The 22,458-nt window shown below is 47.4% G+C and overlaps 1 protein-coding gene across 7 annotated transcripts in view, besides 1 other annotated feature; it reads right to left on the bottom strand.

Moving 5' to 3' along the window:
- Positions 1-2,785: 2,785 nt before the first annotated feature.
- ZFYVE1 (zinc finger FYVE-type containing 1) overlaps positions 2,786-22,458 on the bottom strand; it is a 57,662-nt gene continuing 37,989 nt past the window's right edge. For 2 of the 7 annotated variants that reach the window (XM_047431482.1, XM_017021373.2), the window contains 8 exons: positions 15,130-15,236; positions 12,202-12,310; positions 11,478-11,575; positions 11,268-11,385; positions 8,892-9,062; positions 8,120-8,300; positions 7,421-7,534; positions 2,786-4,455 (listed from right to left, as the gene is read on the bottom strand). In XM_047431482.1, the coding sequence (XP_047287438.1) occupies positions 4,223-4,455; positions 7,421-7,534; positions 8,120-8,300; positions 8,892-9,062; positions 11,268-11,385; positions 11,478-11,575; positions 12,202-12,310; positions 15,130-15,194 (1,089 nt within the window). In that variant the 5' untranslated portion in view covers positions 15,195-15,236 and the 3' untranslated portion in view covers positions 2,786-4,222. Of the gene's footprint in view, positions 4,456-7,420; positions 7,535-8,119; positions 8,301-8,891; positions 9,063-11,267; positions 11,386-11,477; positions 11,576-12,201; positions 12,311-15,129; positions 15,237-20,232; positions 20,298-22,458 lie in introns of those variants that run through there. The other 5 variants (NM_001281735.1, NM_178441.2, NM_001281734.2 and 2 more) reach the window with 5 other exon arrangements.
- Positions 3,784-4,285: an enhancer, noted in NCBI's record as "H3K4me1 hESC enhancer chr14:73437151-73437652 (GRCh37/hg19 assembly coordinates)". NCBI's record gives its function as "activates a minimal SCP1, AML or CMV promoter by ChIP-STARR-seq in naive H9 embryonic stem cells {active_cell/tissue: H9 hESC(naive)}" and the evidence as "EXISTENCE:reporter gene assay evidence [ECO:0000049][PMID:30033119]".

Raw genomic sequence — 22,458 nt, forward strand, 5'->3', positions numbered from 1 at the left:
TACCAGGTGCAATTTAAGATTTAGGAGTTAAAATGTGCTCAGATTTTGTACAGTAACTAAAACATCCTATTCATGATGAGAAGAATTACAGACTACGATTGTGGGTTCCACTGTCTCTCCCTAATCATGGTAAGTCTGAAATGGAAAATGCAAACATAGCTGCAAAATTAACATTGAATCAATTTTTTTTAACAATTGGAAGCTGGCCAGGAACAATGGCTCACACCTGTACCCCCTGCACTTTGGGAGGCCAAGGCAGCAGATTGCTTGAGCCAAGAGTTCAAGACCAGCCTGGGCAACATGGCAAAACCCCATCTCTATAAAATTCAAAAAAAAAAAAAAAATTGGAAGCTTAGCTCATGTTATAGGCTAGATCAACTTGTTTAATCTCTCAGCCAGTGAGTCTTTTTAGTGAAAAATAAAGCTGCTTTTAGTGAAAAAGTGTGATTGCCCTCAGCCATGAGAATCTTCAAGGCCAATGGAAATGATCAAAGCTAAGCTTGCTGACCACACTAGCAGTCACCTTGATTCTTACCTTTCCTCCTAAGAAGATATTGACCTTACCTGGAAATGCAAAAGAATTAACAAGCTGTGAAGGGGAAGGAAAACAGGGGGAGAAACTCTACAGTGCGATGGTGATAGAAGGGGTCTGGGGCTGCCTGGACTCAGGCCAGCTTGGAGTGTGCCGGGCAATGCTGGGCTTCTGATCCTGTAGGAGCCAGTGTCTTAGGCTGTAAGACAAGAACCCTACTGCGGACCTTCCAGTGTGGTTGTGACAATTAACCATGTAAAGCTCCTAGCATAGTGCAAGGCACGTTAACAGGCACCTAAATATTGGTTCTCTTTGCTTTTCCGGTTCCCAAATAAATCAGCAGTTAAACCCAAGGGATGTGTAAGGATCCCACTTGGTCTCATTGATCACAGACCGCGTCATTCTCAGCCACAAGTTGCAATCTCCAGTCACAGCCCTCAGGGATATGTTCAACAACTGTCTCTACCTATGAGCAAGCCTTTTAAACCAGAAAGTGATTAAAACCCTTTCCATGGCTCCCCCTGAAAAGGAGAGGGGACGAAAATCTGTTACTACATGTCGGATAGTGGTTACTCCTGGTGGGGGGAGGGACCAGGAGTTCTTGCAGGACAGCCATGTTCTGTTTCTTAATTTGGGTGCTGATTGGTTACGTAGTATTCAGTTTGAGAAAATCAAGCTGAAGTATAGATGTATAATAGTTCAATAGGTTTGTTTTTGTTGTTGAGACAGGTTCTCACTCTGTCACCCAGGCTGGAGTACAGTGACATCTCTGAGGCTCAAGCAATCCTCCTACCTCAGCCTCCCGGTAGCTGGAATTACAGGCGCCCAGCTTTTTTGGGGGGAGGGGTTGGTTTTCTTGGTAGGGACAGGGTTCACTCACCACGTTGCCCAGGCTGGTCTCAAACTCCTGGGCTTAAGTGATCCGCCCACCTTGGCCTCCCAAAGTGCTGGGATCACAGGTATGAGTGACCACGCCTAGCCAGGACTACGTATTTTAAACCTAGGGAGTGAAAATCAGGACTAATACCCCATCTCTTCTACTGTGCGAGAGGATTCCTCAACAGACCCTGACCCGACAGCTGCCAGAGTGTAACCCAGAGAACCCAAGCTGTGAAACCGCCACCGCTGAGCCTTGCTCAGCCAATGCCACGGCTGCAGAAAGGGGGTCTGCCGGGTGACCCCGGCTGCAGAAAGGTCTGAGGAACACCTCTAAGTACAGGATAAGTGGTAAGAATGTGGGGGCCCTCTAGTCACTAGAGAGAATTCCATGACTGTCAGCTATTGCCTTCCCTACATAAAGGAATATTCATGACCAGCTCAAAGCTCTGGTCCCAGTCAGCACACTGATCTGGGTGGGGCATGGTATCTAGCGAAGGGCTGGGGACAACAGGCTGTGGTCATGAGACTGACATCCACTGCACAGGATCATGGTTTGGGGGTACTTGGCTATGGTGGGGTTTTTTTGTTTGTTTGTTTGTTTGTTTTGAGACGGGGTCTCACTCTGTCACCCAGGCTAGAGTGCAGTGGCGCAATCTCGGCTCACTGCAAACTCCACCTCCTGGGTTCAAGCCATTCTCCTGCCTCAGCCTCCTGAGTAGCTGGGACTACAGGTGCCCACCACCACGCCCGGCTAATTTTTTTTGTATTTTTAGTAGAGATGGGGTTTCACCATGGTAGCCAGGATGGTCTTGATCTCCTGACCTCATGATCTTCCCGCCTTGGCCTCCCAAAGTACTGGGATTACAGGCGTGAGCCACCGCGCCTGGCCATTTTTTTTTTTTTTTTAAACAGAGTTTCACTCTTGTTGCCCAGGCTACAGTGCAACAATGGTGCAATCTCAGCTCAGCACAACCTCCACCTCCCGGGTTCAAGCAATTCTCTTGCCTCAACCTCCCAAGTAGCTGGGATGACAAGATTGCGCCACCACACCCAACTAATTTTTTGTATTTTTAGTAGAGACGGGGTTTCTACATGTTGGTCAGGCTGGTCTCGAACTCCCAACCTAAAGTGATCCCCCTCCGGCCTTGGCCTCCCAAAGTGCTGAGATTACAGGCATGAGCCACCACGCCCAGCCGGCTATGGTTTTGAAAAAGTTCTTATTTGTCAGAGTAAAAGACTGCAGTATTTGCAGGTAAAATATTACCGCCCTTGAAACATGCCCCTTACTTGGCCTCTGCTTGGAAAGCCACCATCAGCTGGAGACAGATGGTGGCTGGAAGGCACTGATGGAATGAGAGGAAAGAGCCAGCACAGTCGAGATGCAGGAAGATTCCTTTATGATGGCGAATTGGATGGTACACAGTTCTAGAGTAGGGTCCCAGTCACTGGACCCCAGGAGGCAGGAGGAGCAGGGCTGAGAGGGACGACACACTCCAGGGCTCATGTCACACCGATAGGCGCACCAGGAATGACCGCCATATACTTCCCTAAAGCTCAACCCACCCACCAGTTCAGTTAAGAATTATACTTTAATTCGTGTTTGGCCACTGAAGATCAAATCCACCATGATGATAGGATTTCAGCACAACGGGCCCTTTCCAGTCATGACAGACAGAGATGTCCAGGCTCTTGAGGAGAAACAAAAGTTCCTTTGACTTCTCTTGCAAGGACCAAAGAGATAAATTTTTTCTTTACGATCTGTTGAAATATTTATATAGACTTTTAAAAACAACTAACAGTTCATCCTGTGCTCAGTTTCCCTGGAAGGTTTCTCATGATCGCCCCTCCGAGAGCTAGAGGGGTTGTGTGTCTGGGAACAAAGGATTAAGACACTTTAAAATAAGCAATGAAAATCCTAGTGCGACACTCAGAAGCAGATGGTGGGCTTGAGGGGGCCGAGGGGTGGGAGGCAGATGCTTCGATTGAGGAGCTGGGTGCCGCCTTTTGGGAAAGCCGAGTGGAGACAGAAGCATCGGGACAGGAAGCCCTGCTGGAGAAGGCTCAGTTCCTTCCTTGCTGTTCCCTGGGGGACCAGGGACAGCACGGCCCCTGCATTTCTACTTCTCAGGGCCGAAGACCCGACCTCTGACCCTCCACCCACTCCGGTGACCTGCACGCTAAGTTGGGTGGTCTCTGACTAAAACAGGCTTAAGCCAAGAATTGGGACTCGACTCCCAGGAGACCTAGGGAGAATTCCCTTCAGGCTGTTTCAGGCAGGAAGGACCAGGGAGGCTCACTCCCCAGGCAGCTGACAGGCATGGAGGGAAGAGCCAAGGACAGGAGAGGCTTCCAAGGCTCCAAGAGCAGCAGAGGAAGGGGCCAGCCACGTGGTGGCCATGGACCTGGCTCGGCTCATGAGGAAGACGTGCTGCCACTGCCACCTCACCCTGTGCGGAGGAGACTGTGCGAAGTCTTCACAGCCAGCAGCAGCCTCGATACGCCCCGAGTGCCTTTCATATGTATATATGAGAGAGAGATATACACATATATATTCATTATTTTTAACTGAAATAAATGCAACGGATTCAGGTTCATTCCCCTTTGCGATAAGTTGCAAGGTCCCCTGCCCTGAGGGGTCCACACCTTCGGGCCTGCCGCCAGGCTCACCCCCACTGAGGGAAAGTGGCCCTGGATGCGGAGAGGAGAGGACACACACCACAGCAGGTGACTGGGAGGAGGGCCTACCTCGCAAGACTGTTTCTAACCCTGAGAACCTAAGGAATTGTGAAGGACTCGGAGAGGGGGCTGGGGTTAAAGGTCACCGGGCTTTTTATTGCAGTTGAAGCAGACTCGGACGGGATGGTCCCAGCCACGAGAAGGAACAGCCCGGCGGTCATGGGAGCACTCATCACAGAAGCCCTGTCCGCAGGCCCGGCAGTGGTGCTTGGAGAGCTTGATGCTGAACTCCTTCCGGCAGTTGTGGCAGTGGAGGATTTCGTGGTCAGGCACCCAGTACGCAGGCCTGGCCGCGTCCTTTACCAGACCTAAGGCAGGGAACAATGGTCAGGGCACCCAAAGCCCAATACCCCGAGGCCCAACTAGCAAGAGGCCATCCTCGGATGCTTACTGGCTTATAATCCCAACTGCACACAGAATTGCTGACAGAGCTTTTTAAAAATGCAGAAGCCCAGGCTCTGCCACTCACATCCAGATCAGAGTCTTTGGGGCTGTCGCATAGGCACTGATTTTCCCTTTTCCTTTTTCACATTTTTTAAGATTTTTTGGAGTCAGAGTCTCATTCTGTCGCCCAGGTTGGAGTGCAGTATCACGATTTCGGCTCACCACAACCTCTGCCTCCTGGGTTCAAACAATCCTCCCACCTCAGCCTCCCAAGTAGCTGGGACTACAGGTGTGCACCACCACACCTGGCTAATTTTTGTAGAGACAGGGTTTCACCATGTTGTCCGGGCTGGTCTCGAACTCCTAGTCTCAAGTGATCTGCCCACCTCGGCTTCCCAAAGTGCTGGGATTGTAGGCATAACATTATAGGCATGAGCCACCACGCCCTTTCTTTCTCTTTTGTGACAGGGTCTCACTCTGTTGCCCAGGCTGGTCTCAAATTACTGGGACTCAAGGGAGCCTCCTGCCTGAGTCTCCCAAGTAGCTAGGATTATAGGCATGCACCCCCACACCCAGCTCCTTGATCTTTATGTATCTATGAAGCCCTCCTTGTAAACTGAAGGGGCAGCCGTGTTAAGAACCCCTGGAGGAAATATAAAGAAGTCTGGGCTCTGGAGTCAGACACTCAAATCCCAATTCTACTGAGATCAGGTTAATCAGCAGCTGCTGGATTAAGAAAGGTTAGCTAAGGCTGGGCATGGTGGCTCACACCTATAATCCCAGCACTTTGGGAGGCAGAGGCAGGAGGACCACTCAAGGTCAGGAGTTCGAGACCAGCCTGGCCAACATGGTGAAACCCTGTCTCTACTAAAAATACAAAAATTAGCCGGGCGTGGTGGTATAACCCCAGCTACTTGGAAGCCTGAGGCATGAGAATCGCTTAAACCTGGGAGGTGGAGGTTGCAGTAAGCCAAGATCACACCACTGCACTCCAGCCTGGACAATAGCGAGAGTCAGTCTCAAAAAAAAAAGAAAGGTTAGCTAACCTCTCAGGGGCTTACTCATCTTTAACAACCCACCTTCAAGAACTGTGATGAGGATGAGAAGAAAGAACATGCCTGACACACTGGCCTGGTACTCAACACCCTGTGGGCGCTCAGAATGGGAGCACTTGGTGAGCACAGCCAGCAGGCTATGCTCTGCCTTCTGTGCCAAGGACAGTTCTTGCCTCTCCCAGGTACCCCTGGGGACAGATGCAACCTGAGATTTAAGCTTGGGCAAATCCAGCAATTCCTACATCATCTACTCACTTTGTGAGCTGCAATGAGGAAATCTGCTCCAGGCCATTTTCATCACTACTCACTTTTGCTCGCTCCCCTACAATGTGCCACGCTGCCCCAGGCCTGGCCAGCCTTGCGTAAGCCTGCCAAGCACTGGTTGATTTCCCTCCCTCTCCCCCTCGCCATCCTAAATACAAATACCCCTCACATCCAGGGCTGGGTAGCTATTTTAAATCTTCTTTTTTTTTTTTTTTTGAGACAGAGTCTCGCTCTGTTGCCCAGGCTGGAGTGCAGTGGTGCGATCTCGCCTCACTGCAAGCTCCACCTCCCGGGTTCATGCCATTCTCCTGCCTCAGCCTCCCTAGTAGCTGGGACTACAGGTGCCCGCCACCACGCCTGGCTAATTTTTTTGTATTTTCAGTAGAGACGGGTTTTCACCGTGTGTTGGCCAAGACTGATCTCTTGACTTCGTGATCCACCTGCCTTGGCCTCCCAAAGTGCTGGTATTATAGGCGTGAGCCACGGTGCCCGGCCAGCTATTTTAAATCTTAAACTACTAACAGTTTGGCTGGTGTGACAGACTAAAGACAGCCATAGAATCTTTCACCCACTTTCCATCTTTGACACTCCTGCCCCCTCCCTTGAATCTAGACAAACCTGTGACGGCAGCAGACTCCAGGAGATGACAGCAGAAGTGCCTGTCTGCAGTCCTAGGCCTCAAGAGATGGGCAGCTTCAGCCAGGCACAGTGGCTCACGCCTGTAATCCCAGCACTTTGGGAGGCCAAGGCCGGTGGATCACCTGAGCTCAGGAGTTCGGGACCAGCCTGGTCAACATGGTGAAACCCCGTCTCTACTAAAAATACAAAAATTAGCTGGGCATGGTGGCACGTGCCTGTAATCCTAGCTGCTTGGGAGGCTGAGGTAGGAGAATTGCCTGAACCTGGAAGGCGGAGGTTGCAGTGAGCCAAGATCGCACCACTGTACTCCAGCCTGGGTGACAGAGTAAGACTCCATCTCAAAAAAACAAACAAACAAACAAACAAAAAAAAAGAGATGGGCAGCATCCACTTCCTGTCTCTTGGAACATTAACTCCTGGAACCCTGACATCATTTAAGAAGTGCCAAAGAAACCACTGAAGAGGCCTGGAGAATACAAAGACCGAGTGAGGCTCTGCTACACACAGCCTCCTAACTGTCCCTGCCAAGGCACCCAGCTTGTAAGTGAGGTCAGCTTGGACCCTTGAGACCACTCCAGCTACCACCCTGGAATATCAGGTAGTAACTAGAGCCAATGCCACTTGGAGCTGAATAATTACCCTTCCTGACTTCTAGACCTGCAAAGACATCAAAGATGGCTGTTTTAAGCCTTTACATTTTAAGGTAGCTCGTTACACAGCACTAGATGCTGTAAGAGAATGGCTTCCAGCAATAAACATGAAACTACTAAGGCATTCAGCAGAAGCAAGCAAATGTGTGGCATTGTGTAATTGATTCCTTTACCACCCATCTCAATCTAGGTTGGCAAGCCTTTACAAAGTGACAGCCCAGGGCACCTGAAACCCCTCAACCCGCATCCACTACCCCCAAGAGAAGCACTGCCAGGCCCACCTAGTGGTATGTCAATGGCTGTCACCACGGCTCCCAGAGTGTTCTGCACGGCCTCGCCCACCTTCCGAGCAATGAGCGTTCCACCTTCATCGTCCACTTGTGCCTCGGTAACAGCTGTAGACAGTAATAAAGGAAATGCTGTCACCTCTAAGTCCTCTCCCAAATGGAAAACTCAGGGACCAATAGCAGAACGCTTCTGGATTCTGATCCCAGACACCACTGTGCTGTCCTGCAACTACTGCAAGGGTCTGTGCTGTGGGTCAGGTCAGCCCAGACTCTGAAATTAGATGACATCTGTTAGTCCTTTAGCTGCAACCTTCTGGGGCTCCTTTATAACCCTTCTTTTAAAGTAAGGCAGAAAGGTTCTAGGAGCGAAAACTAGAACCTTCTCAAAGGAGAAGACTGGTCTAAGCCATCTCTGGTAAACACTGCAGCCTTTTCAGAATTCAGTTGCTATGTGCGCATTCCCTTCCCCCAGAAGCAACTCTGCAGCTAAGAATGCAGGACAGGTTCGAGCCCCTGAGGAACAGCACCCATAGGACGCTGTTAACAAGGAGCTTAGAGGCTGACTGGCCAAGACCAGAAGTACTCTCACAAGGGAGATGTGGATTAGGGCATCTGGATATCCAGTTCTTAGCACCCAGGGCCAATGTGGGAGGTTCTCCCCTCCACCCCTGCAGCTCCCAGGTCCCACGTTACCTAACTGGACGTTCCTGGCTTCGTAGCAGTTGTCACAGACCCGCACTGGCGCAGGGCCCCAGCCCCGCTCAGGCACTGGCCGAGTCTTTGATGAACAGCTGTCACAGAAGCCCTCCCCACAGGCTCGGCAGTGATGCTTAGTGTCGTTATCTTTAAAGGACGTCGCACACTTGTTGCAGCTCTGTTCCAAGCCCAAAACAAAACAGAGAGGCAGGTAGGTATGGTACATGTCTGCTCAGCTGAGAAAGTCAACAAGACCCCGGAGCAAGCAGAAACTAAGGCAGGTGGCGTTAGCTCAACAAGGACAAGAGCTTTCTAGTAACGCGTTATCTGAGAATGGAAAGGAAGCCTGGTGGACAGTGAGTTTCCTTTCACTAAGTGTCTGGGTTGAAGCTGGGTGCTCTCTTGCTCTGGGTGCTGTAGCGTTAATGGATCAAGCTGAGGATGACCCTAAATAACCTCTAAAGACCCCTTTTCCTCCAGATTCTTATCTGGGTCCTCACATATCTAAGCAATATTCACTGGTCGTCACACACAAGGAAACTAAAACTCACCAAACAGAAAATACTTGCAGGAAAACACGAAGGGAAATCAATGGGCAAAGAGAAACTGGCTGCCTCAACGACTCCTCCCCTTGCCGGTACTCACAGAGCTCACTGCACTGGCAGAAAATGTTTGCGTCTCCCTCACAGAACAAGCTTAGCACAGGGCAAAGCGGCATTAAGTAGGATGGGCTGTGCCAGGAGTGGAGGGGCATCCTGGCACACCATACCAGAATCTGGGAGTTGGGCCTCCAGTAGGCAGGGGCGATCTGGTCTGTCAGCCAGGAAGTCACAGCCTTGGTGGGTCCAAGGCTAAGCTCGGACACCGACTGAGCCATGAAGTTCATCCCGTCCAACAGGCGCTGGGCAGCATTGTTGTTGTCCTTCAGAAACCCATCAGTCTGAAATGAAAACGCAGGCTTCCATCATGCTCTGAGAAGGGAGTGAAAGGAAGGAGGAAGAGGGATGTTTGGTGAGTTGCACACTCACCGTGGCCAACTCAGAACCACTAACTCCCTGGCAGGGAAGAACGGAGACACACCAGGAATCCCTCTGGCTTTATTCTCTTCAAAGTGACCATAAGACTTGATGTGTAGCTGTTCAATTCAGGACTTACTAAGCCCATATAATACAGGAGATGACACCTCCTCCAGGGGGCCCCGCACCGCAGGCTGAGTTAAGAACCTTTCCTCTCAGTTCTTCTAATACTTGGACATCTCTAGGAATCCTATTTCTGTGTGTCTAAGTACAATATCCATTTAGGTATCTGACTTCCCTATTAAACTCTGAACTCCCTGACAATAACTCTTTGTCATTTTTGTATTTTGTAAAGTAACTAGCTCAGTGCTGGGCACAAGGTACACAACAATGTATGCTGAATAATGAATGAAGGAAGGAAGGAAGGAAGGAGCAAACAAACAGCAGGGAAGGCATCTGTATCCTCCTAATTTCGAGGACTGTGAAGAATGTGACCTGAGAGTAAATTACTGCAGTCCTGTTTTCCTGGAACATAAACTATCTTACCACCTTTACTTTCTCGCTATAAGGCCACGTTAAATCCTTGGGACATAATGGAATAAACCATTATGCCAAGGAGGTGGGCTCCCATAATGAGACTACTATATAATAACAGATTTCAGTGGGCCAGAAAATTAGAAAAAGGAGGAGAAAAATAAGGAAATCGGCCGGGTGCGATGGCTCACGCCTGTAATCCCAGCATTTTGGGAGGCCGAGGTAGGTGGATCACAAGGTCAAGAGATCGAGACCATCCTGGCCAACATGGTGAAACCCTGTCTCTACTAAAAATACAAAAATTAGCTGGGTGTGGTAGCACGCGCCTGTAATCCCAGCTACTCGGGAGGCTGAGGCAGGAGAATTGCTTGAACCCAGGAGGTGGAGGTTGCAGTTAGCCGAGATCACACCACTGCACTCCAGCCTGGGTGACAGAGCAAGACTCCATCTCAAAAAAAAAAAAAAAAAGTTTAAAAAATAAGGAAATCTTCAGTTTTATGGTACCTATAGGATCCAGGAAAGCTCAGGAGAGGACCTGCAGGTAGAACTCCTAGGCTGAACGGTGGCTTTAGGAATCACCCAGCGAGGACAATGACACAGAGTAAAATAAGTCCCTCAGGGATAATCACTTGCCTTTTTTCCATGAAAGGAAAAGGTTTTGGATTTGTTGTGATTTATGGACAATGCTAAGTGTGAACAGTGATTTAATGCAGAATGAAAGCATGATATCACTGCCTCACAAACAGATTTGTATTTCTGACATCTGGAATTCAAAAGTTAAAAAATAATCATTAAACTGGGCGCGGTGGCTCACGCCCATAATCCCAGCCCTTTGGGAGGCCGAGGTGGGCAGGTCACCTGAGGTCGGGAGTTTGAAACCAGCCTGACCAACATGGAGAAACCCTGTCTTTACTGAAAATACAAAATTAGCCGGGCGTGGCGGTCGTGCCTGTAATCCCAGCTACTCGGGAAGCTGAGGCAGGAGAATCACTTGAACCCGGGAGGTGGAGATTGCAGTGAGCCAAGAGAGCCAAGATCTCACCATTGCACTTCAGCCTGGGGAACAAGAGCGAAACTCCGTCTCAAAAAAAAAAAGATTAAGCGTCTATAGGAATCCCACTTCTTAGAATATACTTCAAGAAAATTTCCTATAACAAAAAAATGGCTTTCTTACACGAAGATGGTGACTAGCATTTTAATGATCTTTTTAAAAAGGTGGAAATAAAACTAAATAAAATAGCATTGTGAGGAAAAAAAGCAGGAAAAAGGCATGTAAATATTTGCATCTAGAAAAACATACACATATAGAAAATGAATGAGTAGAACATGCAAAAACGTTTTATTTGCCAAAGGAGTAAAACTATAGATTTTTAGTTTATTTCATTTAAAGTTGTACTTCTAATATATATGCAAGAAAAAATAAAAACAATTTTGGTCTAGAGAACAAAAAAGCTCTCCAGATCATGCCTTTCTAAACCGCCAACATTCTGAAATTCATGGTTAACCTTAATTTTAAGCAGGTTCCAGTTTTCTATACACATGAAAAACTGAACGACACAAGATAAAGAAAAACAGAGAAATCCAACAGTTCTTACTCCAGGCCACACATGCACAATCTCTGTCCGCACCACCGTATCCACAGGATCTTGGTTTCCAAACCAGTACTGCCGACTACGATAGACCACGCCACAGTTAGGACATTCGATCACATACCTACAAGGAAAGCAAATCAATACTGTTACCCAGCCAGGTGCCTGGGGAGACAAACGCACCAGAAAACCTTGAGCCATGTTGTTTAAACTCACCCAGACCAGGCATATTTTGCGAGACCCATCCAGGGGGAGTCAGTGGAAGCAGATGTTTTGGGCACTACACTGACTTCCTCGCCTCTCTCATAGCAGGCCTGAAACAGGAAACACTCTGCTAGCTTATTGTTTGTTTTTTGTTTGTTTTTTTAATAGACACGGGGTTTTACCAGCCCAGGCTGGTTGTGAACTCCTGGGCTCAAGCAATCTGCCCGATCTCAGGAGTTCGAGATCAGCCTGGCCAACATGGTGAAACCCTGTCTCTACTAAAAATACAAAAATTAGCTGGGCATGGTGGCACACATCTGTAATCCCAGCTACTCAGGAGGCTCAGGCAGGAGAATTGCTGCAGCCCAGGAGGTGGAGGTTGCAGTAAGCCAAGATTGTGCCACTGCACTCCAGCCTGGCTGACAGAGCAAGACTCTGTCTCAAAAAAAAAAAAAAAAAAAAAAAAAAAAAAGAATGAATGTTCGATATAAATTACCCTTACATACAAGCTCAACAGAATGAGAAGAAAATAAGCTTAAAACAGTAAACAAAGGGACCCTCACCAATGAAGACATGTGAGTGCTTTTTGTTAGAGCTGGAGAGAAGTTCCAGAAATATTCAATTTGAATATCAAATACTTCAGCATGCAGCAAAAAATGGCCCCAAGATAGTCTTGCCAAAGAGAGAGTGGTCAGCAAGCCCGCTGCTGACACAGGGAGGAGCTCGGAGGACTCACCTTGCAGGTATACACTCGGTTGTCATACTGGTGGGAGTATCTGCAGCGGCTCTTGGCTTCATGAGGCACTCCTTCCTTCCCATGATTCATGCTTTTCTTACATCCAACCCTGAATGAAGCCCAAAGACTGACAATGAGACGGCTAAAGGAGCCAGTGCCACTTACACAGAACAGCCTGACCCTGAGCCAGGCACAAGGCCACGACCAGACCTTGATTACTAACTGGGCCTCAGATGCTGAACACAGAAAGGGTAGCCGGAAACCCACATGCCTCTTTGTTACACTTGCAATCAACAGCACTACAGAGGCACAGCGACTACTATCCTTGTATGAGGACACAGGGGAAAAAGAAATCTCAGCCGGGCACGGTGGCTCACGTCTGTAATCCCAGTACTTTGGGAGGCCGACGGGGGCAGATCACTTCAGGTCAGAAGTTCAAGACCAGCCTAGCCAACATGGTGAAACATCGACTCTACCAAAAATACAAAACTTAGCCGGGCATGGTGGCGGGCACCCATAGTCCCAGGTACTCGGGAGGCTGAGGCAGGAGAATCGCTTGAACCCAGGAGGTGGAGGTTGCAGTGAGTTCAAGACCAGCCTGACCAACATGGAGAAACCCCGTCTCTACTAAAAATACAAAAAAATTAGCCAGGCATAGTGGCTCATGCCTGTAATCCCAGCTACTCAGGAGGCTGAGGCAGGAGAATCACTTGAATCCAGGAGGCGGAGGTTGCAGTAAGCCAAGATCACACCGCTATACTCCAGCCTGGGCAACAGCGAGACTCTGTCTTTAAAAAAAAAAAAAAAAATACACCCAGAAATCCCTTGTTGGAAAAACTACCTGTCCCCTCAGCAGAAATGGAGGAGCCATAAGATACCAACTTGACCAGAGAGGAAACCTGAACGTCTCTCAGAAGACTCAAAAAATCCAAACAAGATGAAATGGAACGTTTACCCAGAACAGGCTGCCAAGATGCAAAATGAAAACCAACCCCAAAATTTGGCAATGCATTAAGGGGAGGCTTAGGCTGAACAAGCCTTCCAAATGAACAATGAGCTCTGCCATCCTGATAATGCAAAAACAGAGATCAGGACTTTAGAATTTCACTATGATAAAAGGGAAAGTTCCAGAAATCCTGGGGAGGCTCACAATGGGAAAGCAATGATCCAACAGTGCTTAAGTCTCTTGTGCTGGGCTCATGGGGCATGCAAAAAGGAAGGTAAGTCACACTGTCAACTAACATCCCTCTCCCCTTTCCAAACTGAACTCTCCAAGATAATCCTTAGTTCTCCCTTGCCCAGGCTGTATAATCCAAGAAGCAGGTCTTTTTCTCGGCAAGGTCAGAGGTGGTTCTGCATGCAGCAGGTGGCCTACAGGACTCAAAGTGAAATGACCATTCATAACAGATGTAGGTCAGGTCTACTCCTGTAAAAGGAGAAGTGTGCAGGACAGGGTGGTTCTGGTAGAAGCAAAGACAATTTGGTAGTGAAGAGTGGAAGGGATTGTCTACAGGACATGGAGGCTGCCATCTGACCTCGACACACTGCATTTAAATCCCCTGGGGCCCATCAGACAAGTCACCACACTGATTTAACAGCCATCAACAGTTCAAACTAATCCAGTGATCCTCAAAGGGTGGTCCCCATGAACATCAGCATCACCTGAGAATTAATTAATTTATTTATTTATTTATTTATTTATTTATTTATTTATTTATTTATTTTGAGAAAGAGTCTCACTCTGTCGCCCAGGCTGGAGTGCAGTGGCGCAATCTCAGCTCACTGCGGGCTCCGCCTCCCGGGTTCACGCCATTCTCCTGCCTCAGCCTCCCGAGTAGCTGGGACTACAGGCGCCGGCCACCGTGCCAGGCTAATTTTTTTGTATTTTTAGTAGAGACAGGGTTTCACCATAGTCTCGATCTGCTGACCTCGTGATCCACCTGCCTCGGCCTCCCCAAGTGCTGGGATTACAGGCGTAAGCCACCGTGCCCGGCCGAGAATTTATTAAATTTATTAAAATGCAAACTCCCAGGCCCTATCTCAGACCTACTGAATTAGAAACTGTGGAGGGGGCACCCAGTGATCCTGCCCTTCAGGTTTTTCTGATGCATGCTAAAATTTGCGGATCACTGCTCTAACCATAACAAAGTGCGGTCCACAAACCAAAGGCACAGCCATTGCCCGGGAGCTTGACAGAAATGCAGAATCTCAGGTTTCACCCAGACCTGATTCCGAATCTGCATTCTAACAGAATCTCAAGGTGATGCATACACAATTGAAGTTTCGGAAGCACTGTCCCAACTCAATGTCCTCAGCTCGGGCTGCACTTTAGAATCCTCTGAGGAGCATCTTAAACATAGCAATGCAGAGGTCCTACACACGACCCGTTAATTAGAATCCCAGAAGGTGGTGCCCTGGCATAAATAATTTTGAAAGCTCCCCAGAAAATTCTAATGTGCTCTAAACATTTCCCCTAATAGTGAAAGGAATCACCTGGAATCAATACCGACCCATAGTGTTTTGCACAGGGGGGGCACTCAAATATCACTTGAATACTTAGAATACTATGAATAAGTGACTGGAAACTCTGGTAGAAAAAACACAGAAAAGCAGGCAACCCAAAGTCTTCTGCCCTAAAAACCTCCCAAACCAGAAGCTGGTCAATTTCACATCTATACCAGCTGGAATTTCCAGGAGATTCTTCACCACCATGTGTCCTTCAAGCTCTTGCTACCTCAGAAGTGTGGTTCCTAGACCACCAGGATCTTGTGGGAACATGGGAGTGTACCATTTTGGATAATTTAAATCAGAACCTGTAATTTAGCAAGATCCCAGGGGATCTGCATCCACACCAAAGTCTAGGAAGCACCACTCAAAGGCTCTATTCTCAAGGTATGGGGTGGGAGGTGGGGGAGCGGCCTTACTTACCCACAGCTGAGGCACAAGGAGGAGCAGGTGAAATACTCATCTGGAAAAAAGGAGCTGTGCGCCATCTGGTCATCGGGGATCTCACCGCTGAAGCGGTCACTTAGTGCCTGCCAAGGAGGGAAGGTGACATATGATGGCACTCAGTAGAGAGCTCCGCACTTTGGCCCCCCACTGCAGGCACCGTACAAGCAACACAGGCACAGAAGAAATCCAGTAACTTCTGCTCATTACCCTTGACCTTCCTGACCCCACTCACATCAGTCCTTACCATGGGAAACCTTGGAAAGAACCAGCCCATTCCCCAAGAGGTCAAGATAAGCAAAGTTACTGTTCTCCCCTAATTGCCTTGCAGGTTATAAACACCTCACACCACTCAGTCTTTTATTCAAGACCACCACAAATAATGATGAATGCCCATTTCATCTATGTGAGGCTGGAACCAAGAAACCAAGACTCACGAGGATGGCTCCTCTTTAAGCCACAGGCAGAGCCCAGATGTGATCTGTGAGTTTCCCGGGCTTCTATCCCAGCTATAACCACAGGCACTTACTTGGAGTTTACTAGACCATAGACAAACTCAAAGCAGGAAAAATGTCACCAGAAAAAAAAAAAAGAAGAAGAATTATTATAGTGTTTGCCAGTCATTTATCAACTCTACCAACCCCCAAAACAGACATTACCCAAAGGACAGCAAATGGCCAAAATAAATGCCAAGAAGATAACATATCCACAAAGCAAACTGAAAATTTCAGGTTGAAATGTAGCTTCCATTCCTAATCCTATCTTCACTTATTACTGGATATTGAAAGTATTCCTCAGGCTAATTACAGAAAGGCGCTTTCCACACTTTAGAAATCACTAAGCACATGCTGCTCCAAGCTTCTAACTTTCAGTCCAGCCCCAGTGTGAAGAAGCCAGGCATTATCCAAGGGAAAATAAGGGAAAGAAGCCTTAACAAAAGGACAATATGTTACTTCCTTCCATAAACGGGCAGAAGAGAATTTTAAAGGAGATCTGGAAAAAGGGCAGGTTAGGTTTTAAACGAAGAACAATTAGAACTTTTTTTTTTTTTGAGATGGAGTTTTGCTCTTGTTGCCCAGGCTGGAGTGCACTGGCACGATCTTGGCTCACTACAACCTCTGCCCCCTGGGTTCAAGAGATTCCCCTGCCTCAGCCTCCCAAGTAGCTAGGATTACAGGCACCCACCACCACACCCGGCTAATTTTTTGTATTTTTAGTAGAAATGAGGTTTCACCATTTTGGCCAGGCTGGTCTTGAACTCCAGGCCTCAGGTGATCCACCCGCCTCGGCCTCACAAAGTGCTGGGATTACAGACGTAAGCCACCATGCTCAGCTGAACAATTAGAACTTCTTATGCAAGGTTCCTTTTCCTGTTTCCAATGCAGTCTTTTTTTTTTTTTAATTATATTTTAAGTTCTAGAGTACATGAGCACAACGTGCAGGTTTGTTACATACGTATACATGTGCCACGTTGGTGTGCTGCACCCATTAACTCGTCATTTACATTAGGTGTATCTCCTAATGCTATCCTTCCCCCCTCCCCCCCACCCCACCACAGGCCTCGATGTGTGATGTTCCCCCCCTTCCTGTGTCCAAGTGTTCTCATTGTTCAATTCCCACCTATAAGTGAGAACATGCGGTGTTTGGTTTTTTGTCCTTGCAATAGTTTGCTGAGAATGATGGTTTCCAGCTTCATCCATGTCCCTACAAAGGACATGAACTCATCCTTTTTTATGGCTGCATAGTATTCCATGGTGTATATGTGCCACATTTTCTTAATCCAGTCTATCATTGATGGACATTTGGGTTGGTTCCAAGTCTTTGCTATTGTGAATAGTGCCGCAATAAACATACGTGTGCATGTGTCTTTGTAGCAGCATGATTTATAATCCTTTGGGTATATACCCAGTAATGGGATGGCTGGGTCAAATGGTATTTCTAGTTCTAGATTCTTGAGGAATCGCCACGCTGGTTGAACTAGTTTACAGTCCCACCAACAGTGTAAAAGTGTTCCTATTTCTCCACATCCTCTCCAGTATCTGTTGTTTCCTGGCCATCAGAGAAATGCAAATCAAAACCACAATGAGATACCATCTCACACCAGTTAGAATGGCGATCATTAAAAAGTCCAATGCAGTCTTAACACCAGGAGTTGCAAACTCAAGTCCCTACAAAGGCACGTAATATCAATGTTGAGTCAGGTCAGGTGTAGGACCAGAATAGTGGCAAGGAGTGGGTCAAACTGAAGGTACACAACTCACCCAAGGACATTCTCACTCAGGTCCTGCAGGGCTACTGCAGAGGCCATAGAACACCATCCGTCAGCCACGGCTGACCAAGCGGCAACCCTGGACTTCAAACAACAAAAAAAATGGTCTGACAAATAATGCATAAGTCCTATACTTTTTGGGGGTACTTTGATAAAGAGTTAAAACATGGGGCCAGGCACGGTGGCTCATGCCTGTAATCCCAGCATTTTGGGAGGCCAAGGTGGGTGGATCACGAGGTCAGGAGTTCGAGACCAGCCTGTCCAGCATGGTGAAACCCCATCTCTACTAAAAATACAAAAATTAGCTGGGCGTGGTGGCGGGCGCCTGTAATCCCAGCTACTCAGGAGACTGAGGCAGGAGAATCATTTGAACCCGGGAGGCGGACGTTACAGTGAGCCAAGATCACGCCATTGCACTCCAGCCTGGGTGACAGGGTGAGACTCCGTCTCAAAAAAAAAAAAAATTGAAAACATGAAGATCTTGAAAGAGGATATGAATGAATATATAGAAATGCTGAGAATAAATGAGAAGCAGGGCAAGTGGAATTATAAGTCGGCCTATACATTTCAGCCTATACAGCGTTCTCTCTCCTGCTTCTACCTGAGACCCATTCTTCAGGGATGTTTGTGGTCTCACCTCTTCCAATGAAGCCTCTCCAACCACATCACTCTCTGCCTTCTCTGACAGCCCATTGTACTCAATACTGTAACTCGGTATTAAATAATTAGGCAATGATGCAAAGCTATGGGTTTGCTGTATTTTATCTCCAGGACTAGATCATAAATACTGTGAAAGCAGCTTCCTACCTTTGCATCCTCCTCCAAATCCTAGCAAAGGACCTAACAGGTACTCAGCTAGAACTGCTGGAATAAGTGCCCAGCACCAACTCCCCTTCACAAACCAACCTTGCCCTCCTCCTCTCCTGGCCCTGCCCTTGCCCTAGGCTTCTTTCATCCCATCCCCAGAGGTCCTCTCAAATTTAAGGCTAACTACTCCCTAACTGGCCAAATTATCAATAACTCTCCAGGCTGTTTCTCAAAGATATGTACAGAACACTCTGAAGACACCTGATGGGAAAAGGCAGCTTTTTTATTGAGACAGAGTCTCACTCAGTGACCCAGGCTGGAGTGCAGTGGCATGTTCACAGCTCACTGCAGCATCACCCTCCTAAGCCCAAGCAATCCTCTTCCCTCAGCCTCCCAAGTAGCTGGGATCACAGGCAAATGCCACCATGCCCCAATAATTTTTGTTTGTTTGTTTTTGTTTTGTTATTGAGACAGTCTCGCTCCGTCACCCAGGTTGGAGTGCAGTGGCATGATCTTGGCTCACTGCAACCTCTGCCTCCTGGTTCAAGCGATTCTCCTGCACCAGCCTCCCAAGTAGCTGGGATTACGGGCCCCTACCACAATGTATGGATAATTTTTTTTTTTTTAGTAGAGACAGGGTTTCACCATGTTGGTCAGGCTGGTCTCGAACTCCTGACCTCAAGTGATCCACCCAACTCAGCCTCCCAAGGTGCTGGGGTTACAGGCGTGAGCCACCGCACCTGGCCAAGATGCTGAAGTATCTAATGAGATGATACAGAAAGAAAAAAAGAGGAGACACAGCTAAGGAATATAGAAGCCACTACAGAAGGTATAGAGAACACCAAAGAATAGCAATTATTATTTAAAAAAAAAAAAAGAATAGCAAATTATTTTTTATTATTTTCATTTTTTAAAATGAGACAGGGTCTTACTATGTTGCCCAGGCTGGTCTCCTGGACTCAAGCCATTCTCCTGCCTCAGCCTTCCAAACTGCTGGGATTATAGGCGTGAGCCACTGTGCCCAGCCAAGAATAGCAATTTTTAGCCGCAGAGTTTTTCTTTTAAACAGGTAACTGAAAGGCTAGCCTAAGTATTGGTTTTCCTAAGGACAAATGATATAAATCTGGCATGAGTGCAACAGCTGGGTTGAATTCACAGAGGATGCCAACTCCCAGTAAATGGGAAATTAGGATCCAATACAGCGTAAGGTTCTTACTGTTTCAACCCAAGTGACCTGGTTCACTTCTCTGAAAGTTCTTCAGAGAAATGGGGGCATTTGTAAGTATCTCAAGGCTTGGTGTGAAACAATCTGCAGCCTGATTTGCCACAGTACATATGCCATCATTCCCTGCCCTAGACAAATGAACTGTTGGCTTATGTTGTCCAAGGTAACAGGTAACCACTTATGACATAAGAAAGAGACTCCAGGCAAGCCAGCCTTCAGATGCTGGCCACTGACACTCTTGCATATGAGGTAAGAACAAGCATCTCACTCGTTCACAAGTCACAGCCTGACTAATGAATCAGACCTTGACAAGTTTCAGGAGGCTTTACAAGAATCAAGAGTGTGGGAAAATAACAGTAACTGTTAAAAAAAAAAAAAAAAAATCCAACGTTAGCATGTTTTAGATGCAAGAGTAGGGAGAAACTCCTCTTTTAGAATCTAATCAGCTTTTCCTTTTTTTTTTTTTTTTGAGACAGAGTCTCGCTCTATCACCCAGGCTGGGTGCAGTGGCGTGATCTTGGCTCACTGCAATCTCCGCCTCCCAAGTAGCTGGGACTACAGGCGCGTGCCACCATGCCCAGCTGATTTTTTGTATTTTTAATAGAGACAGGGTTTCACCATGTTGGCCAGGCTGGTCTCAAACTCCTGACCTCAAGTGATCCACCTGCCTCAGCCTGCAAAAATGTTGGGATTACAGGCGTGAGCCACTGCGCCCGGCCCTGATTTTTCTTTACATACCACCTGATCCATATACTTATTAGCAGGTTCAAAAATTCCAAACCTCACATCATTCCACAGTTTCTTGGGTTCTCCTCCTCCTGAGATCCCAAAGCTAGAAGAGAAAGGCAGGGAAGGGCCCACCTACCCCAAGAAAGCTTGGGAAAGCATTTGAGGCAAGTCTGGAAAAGGTTGCCTGGAGACCAGATGATCTTGAACTTTAGTTGCCTTGACAACAGTGTGGCTCTTTCTATTGTATCTATAGGGCTGGCCCCAGTCATCAAGGGCTAGCAATGAATTTCCTGACTCAAAAGGGACACACTTCTGTCATCAGTGACATCACACCCCAACAAAACATAACTTTATAAATACTTCATAAATGCTTCCCGATGTGACAGAATTGGAACGTCAAGAGTTTCTACATTTAGAGCTCAGAGGTTAAAGAAGGTACATAAAGGCTGGGCACAGTGGATCACTCCTGGTAATCCCATCACTTTGGGAGGCCAAGGCAGACAGATACCTCAAGCTCAGGAGTTCAAGACCAGCCTGGGCAACAGGCAAAAACCCTGTCTCTACAAAAAATACAAAAATTAGCCAGGTGTGGTGGCGTGTGCCTGTTAGTCCTAGCTACTTGAGAGGCTGCGGTGGGATGATGGCTTGGGCCCAGGAGGCAGAGGTTGCAATGAGTCTAGATGGTGCCTAGGGGACACAGAGCCAGACCCTGTCTTAAAAAAAAAAATTAAGACAAAATTACATAAAACCTATACAAATTCAACTATGAAATGGTTCTCCCAACTATTCAGAACTGTAAGTACAGACAACCATAGTTAACTCAATATTCAATTCCAGTATTGAATATTAATTCCTCTATTCGATAGAGACCTGAGCATTTATTTCCTGCAAGCAGGTTTATCTGCTCAGTGCAGGTATGCGCTGCTTGTAGGTATCTGGGCTGTTGCTATTGTGGACCCTGAGCAAAGGAGTCAAGAAATGGGACATAAGCCAGCTAGAAAAAAAGGGGCCTGGGGCCTGCACAACAGTGTGGCTGAATGACATCAAAAGTGATCCTGTCAGCAGGAGGAATAGAGAAACCACTCCCAGGTATGTATGGGCAAGCCACTAGGGCAGAAAACAGCTGCATAGCTCTCTCTCTGTCTCTCTCTCACACACACACATATGTGCATGCATGTGTGCACACCAAAAACTGTTCTTCTCATTCATCACATTTCCAAATCCACATTTCCCGGTCAATAATAAACACAAAAAGTAGTACTTTGACTTCCTTTGAATCCAACAGAGTACTGCATCAATCAGGTGGAACTTCAAAAATAAGATAGGGCTAACAACATTTTTTTTTTTTTTTTTGAGACAGAGTCTTGCTCTGTCACCCAGGCTAGAGTGTAGTGGCACAATCTGAGCTCACTGCAACCTCCGTCTCCGGGGTTCAAGGGATTCTCCTGATTCAGCCTCCCGGGTAGCTGGGATTACAGGCACACACCATCACGGCTGGCTAATTTTTGTATTTTTCACAGAGATGGGGTTTTGCCGTGTTGGCCAGGCTGGTCTCGAACTCGTGACCTCAGGTGATCTGCCTGCTTCAGCCTCCCAAAGTGCTGGGATTACAGGCGTGAGCCACTGCACCTGGCCTAATAACTTTTTTTTTAAATATACTAATGGCATTTAAAATAGGCATTTCGGGCCTGGCACAGTGGCTCACACCTGTAATCCCAACATTTTGGGAGGCGGAGGTGGGCGGGTCACCTGAGGTCAGGAGTTCCAGGCCAGCCTGGCCAACATGGTGAAACCCCGTCTCTACTAAAAATACAAAAATTAGCTAGGCATGGTGGTGTGTGCCCGTAATCCAGGCTACTTGGGAGGCTGAGGCATGAGAATCACTTGAACCTGGGAGTCAGAGGTTTCAGTGAGCCAAGTTTGCATCACTGTACTCCAGCCTGAGTGACAGAGCAAGACTCTGTCTCAAAAAAAAAAAAAAAAAGTGAAAATAAACCAAATCATAGAATAATATAAATGGTATGATCTCATTTATGAAGGATATATATACATACACGCACATGCACTTTTACAGCATTTGCAATTTCTTCTTTTTTTTTTTTTTTTTTTTGAGACAGTCTTGCTGTGTCGCCCAGGACAGAGTACAATGGCGCAATCTCAGCAAACTGCAACCTCCACCTCCAGGGGTTCAAGCCATTCTGCCTCAGCATCCCAAGTAGCTGGGACTACAGGCACCCGCCACCACACCCAGCTAATTTTTGTATTTTTAATAGAGATG

Source organism: Homo sapiens, chromosome 14 (genome assembly GCF_000001405.40).
Source record: "Homo sapiens chromosome 14, GRCh38.p14 Primary Assembly".
NCBI classification, from domain to species: Eukaryota; Metazoa; Chordata; class Mammalia; order Primates; family Hominidae; genus Homo; species Homo sapiens.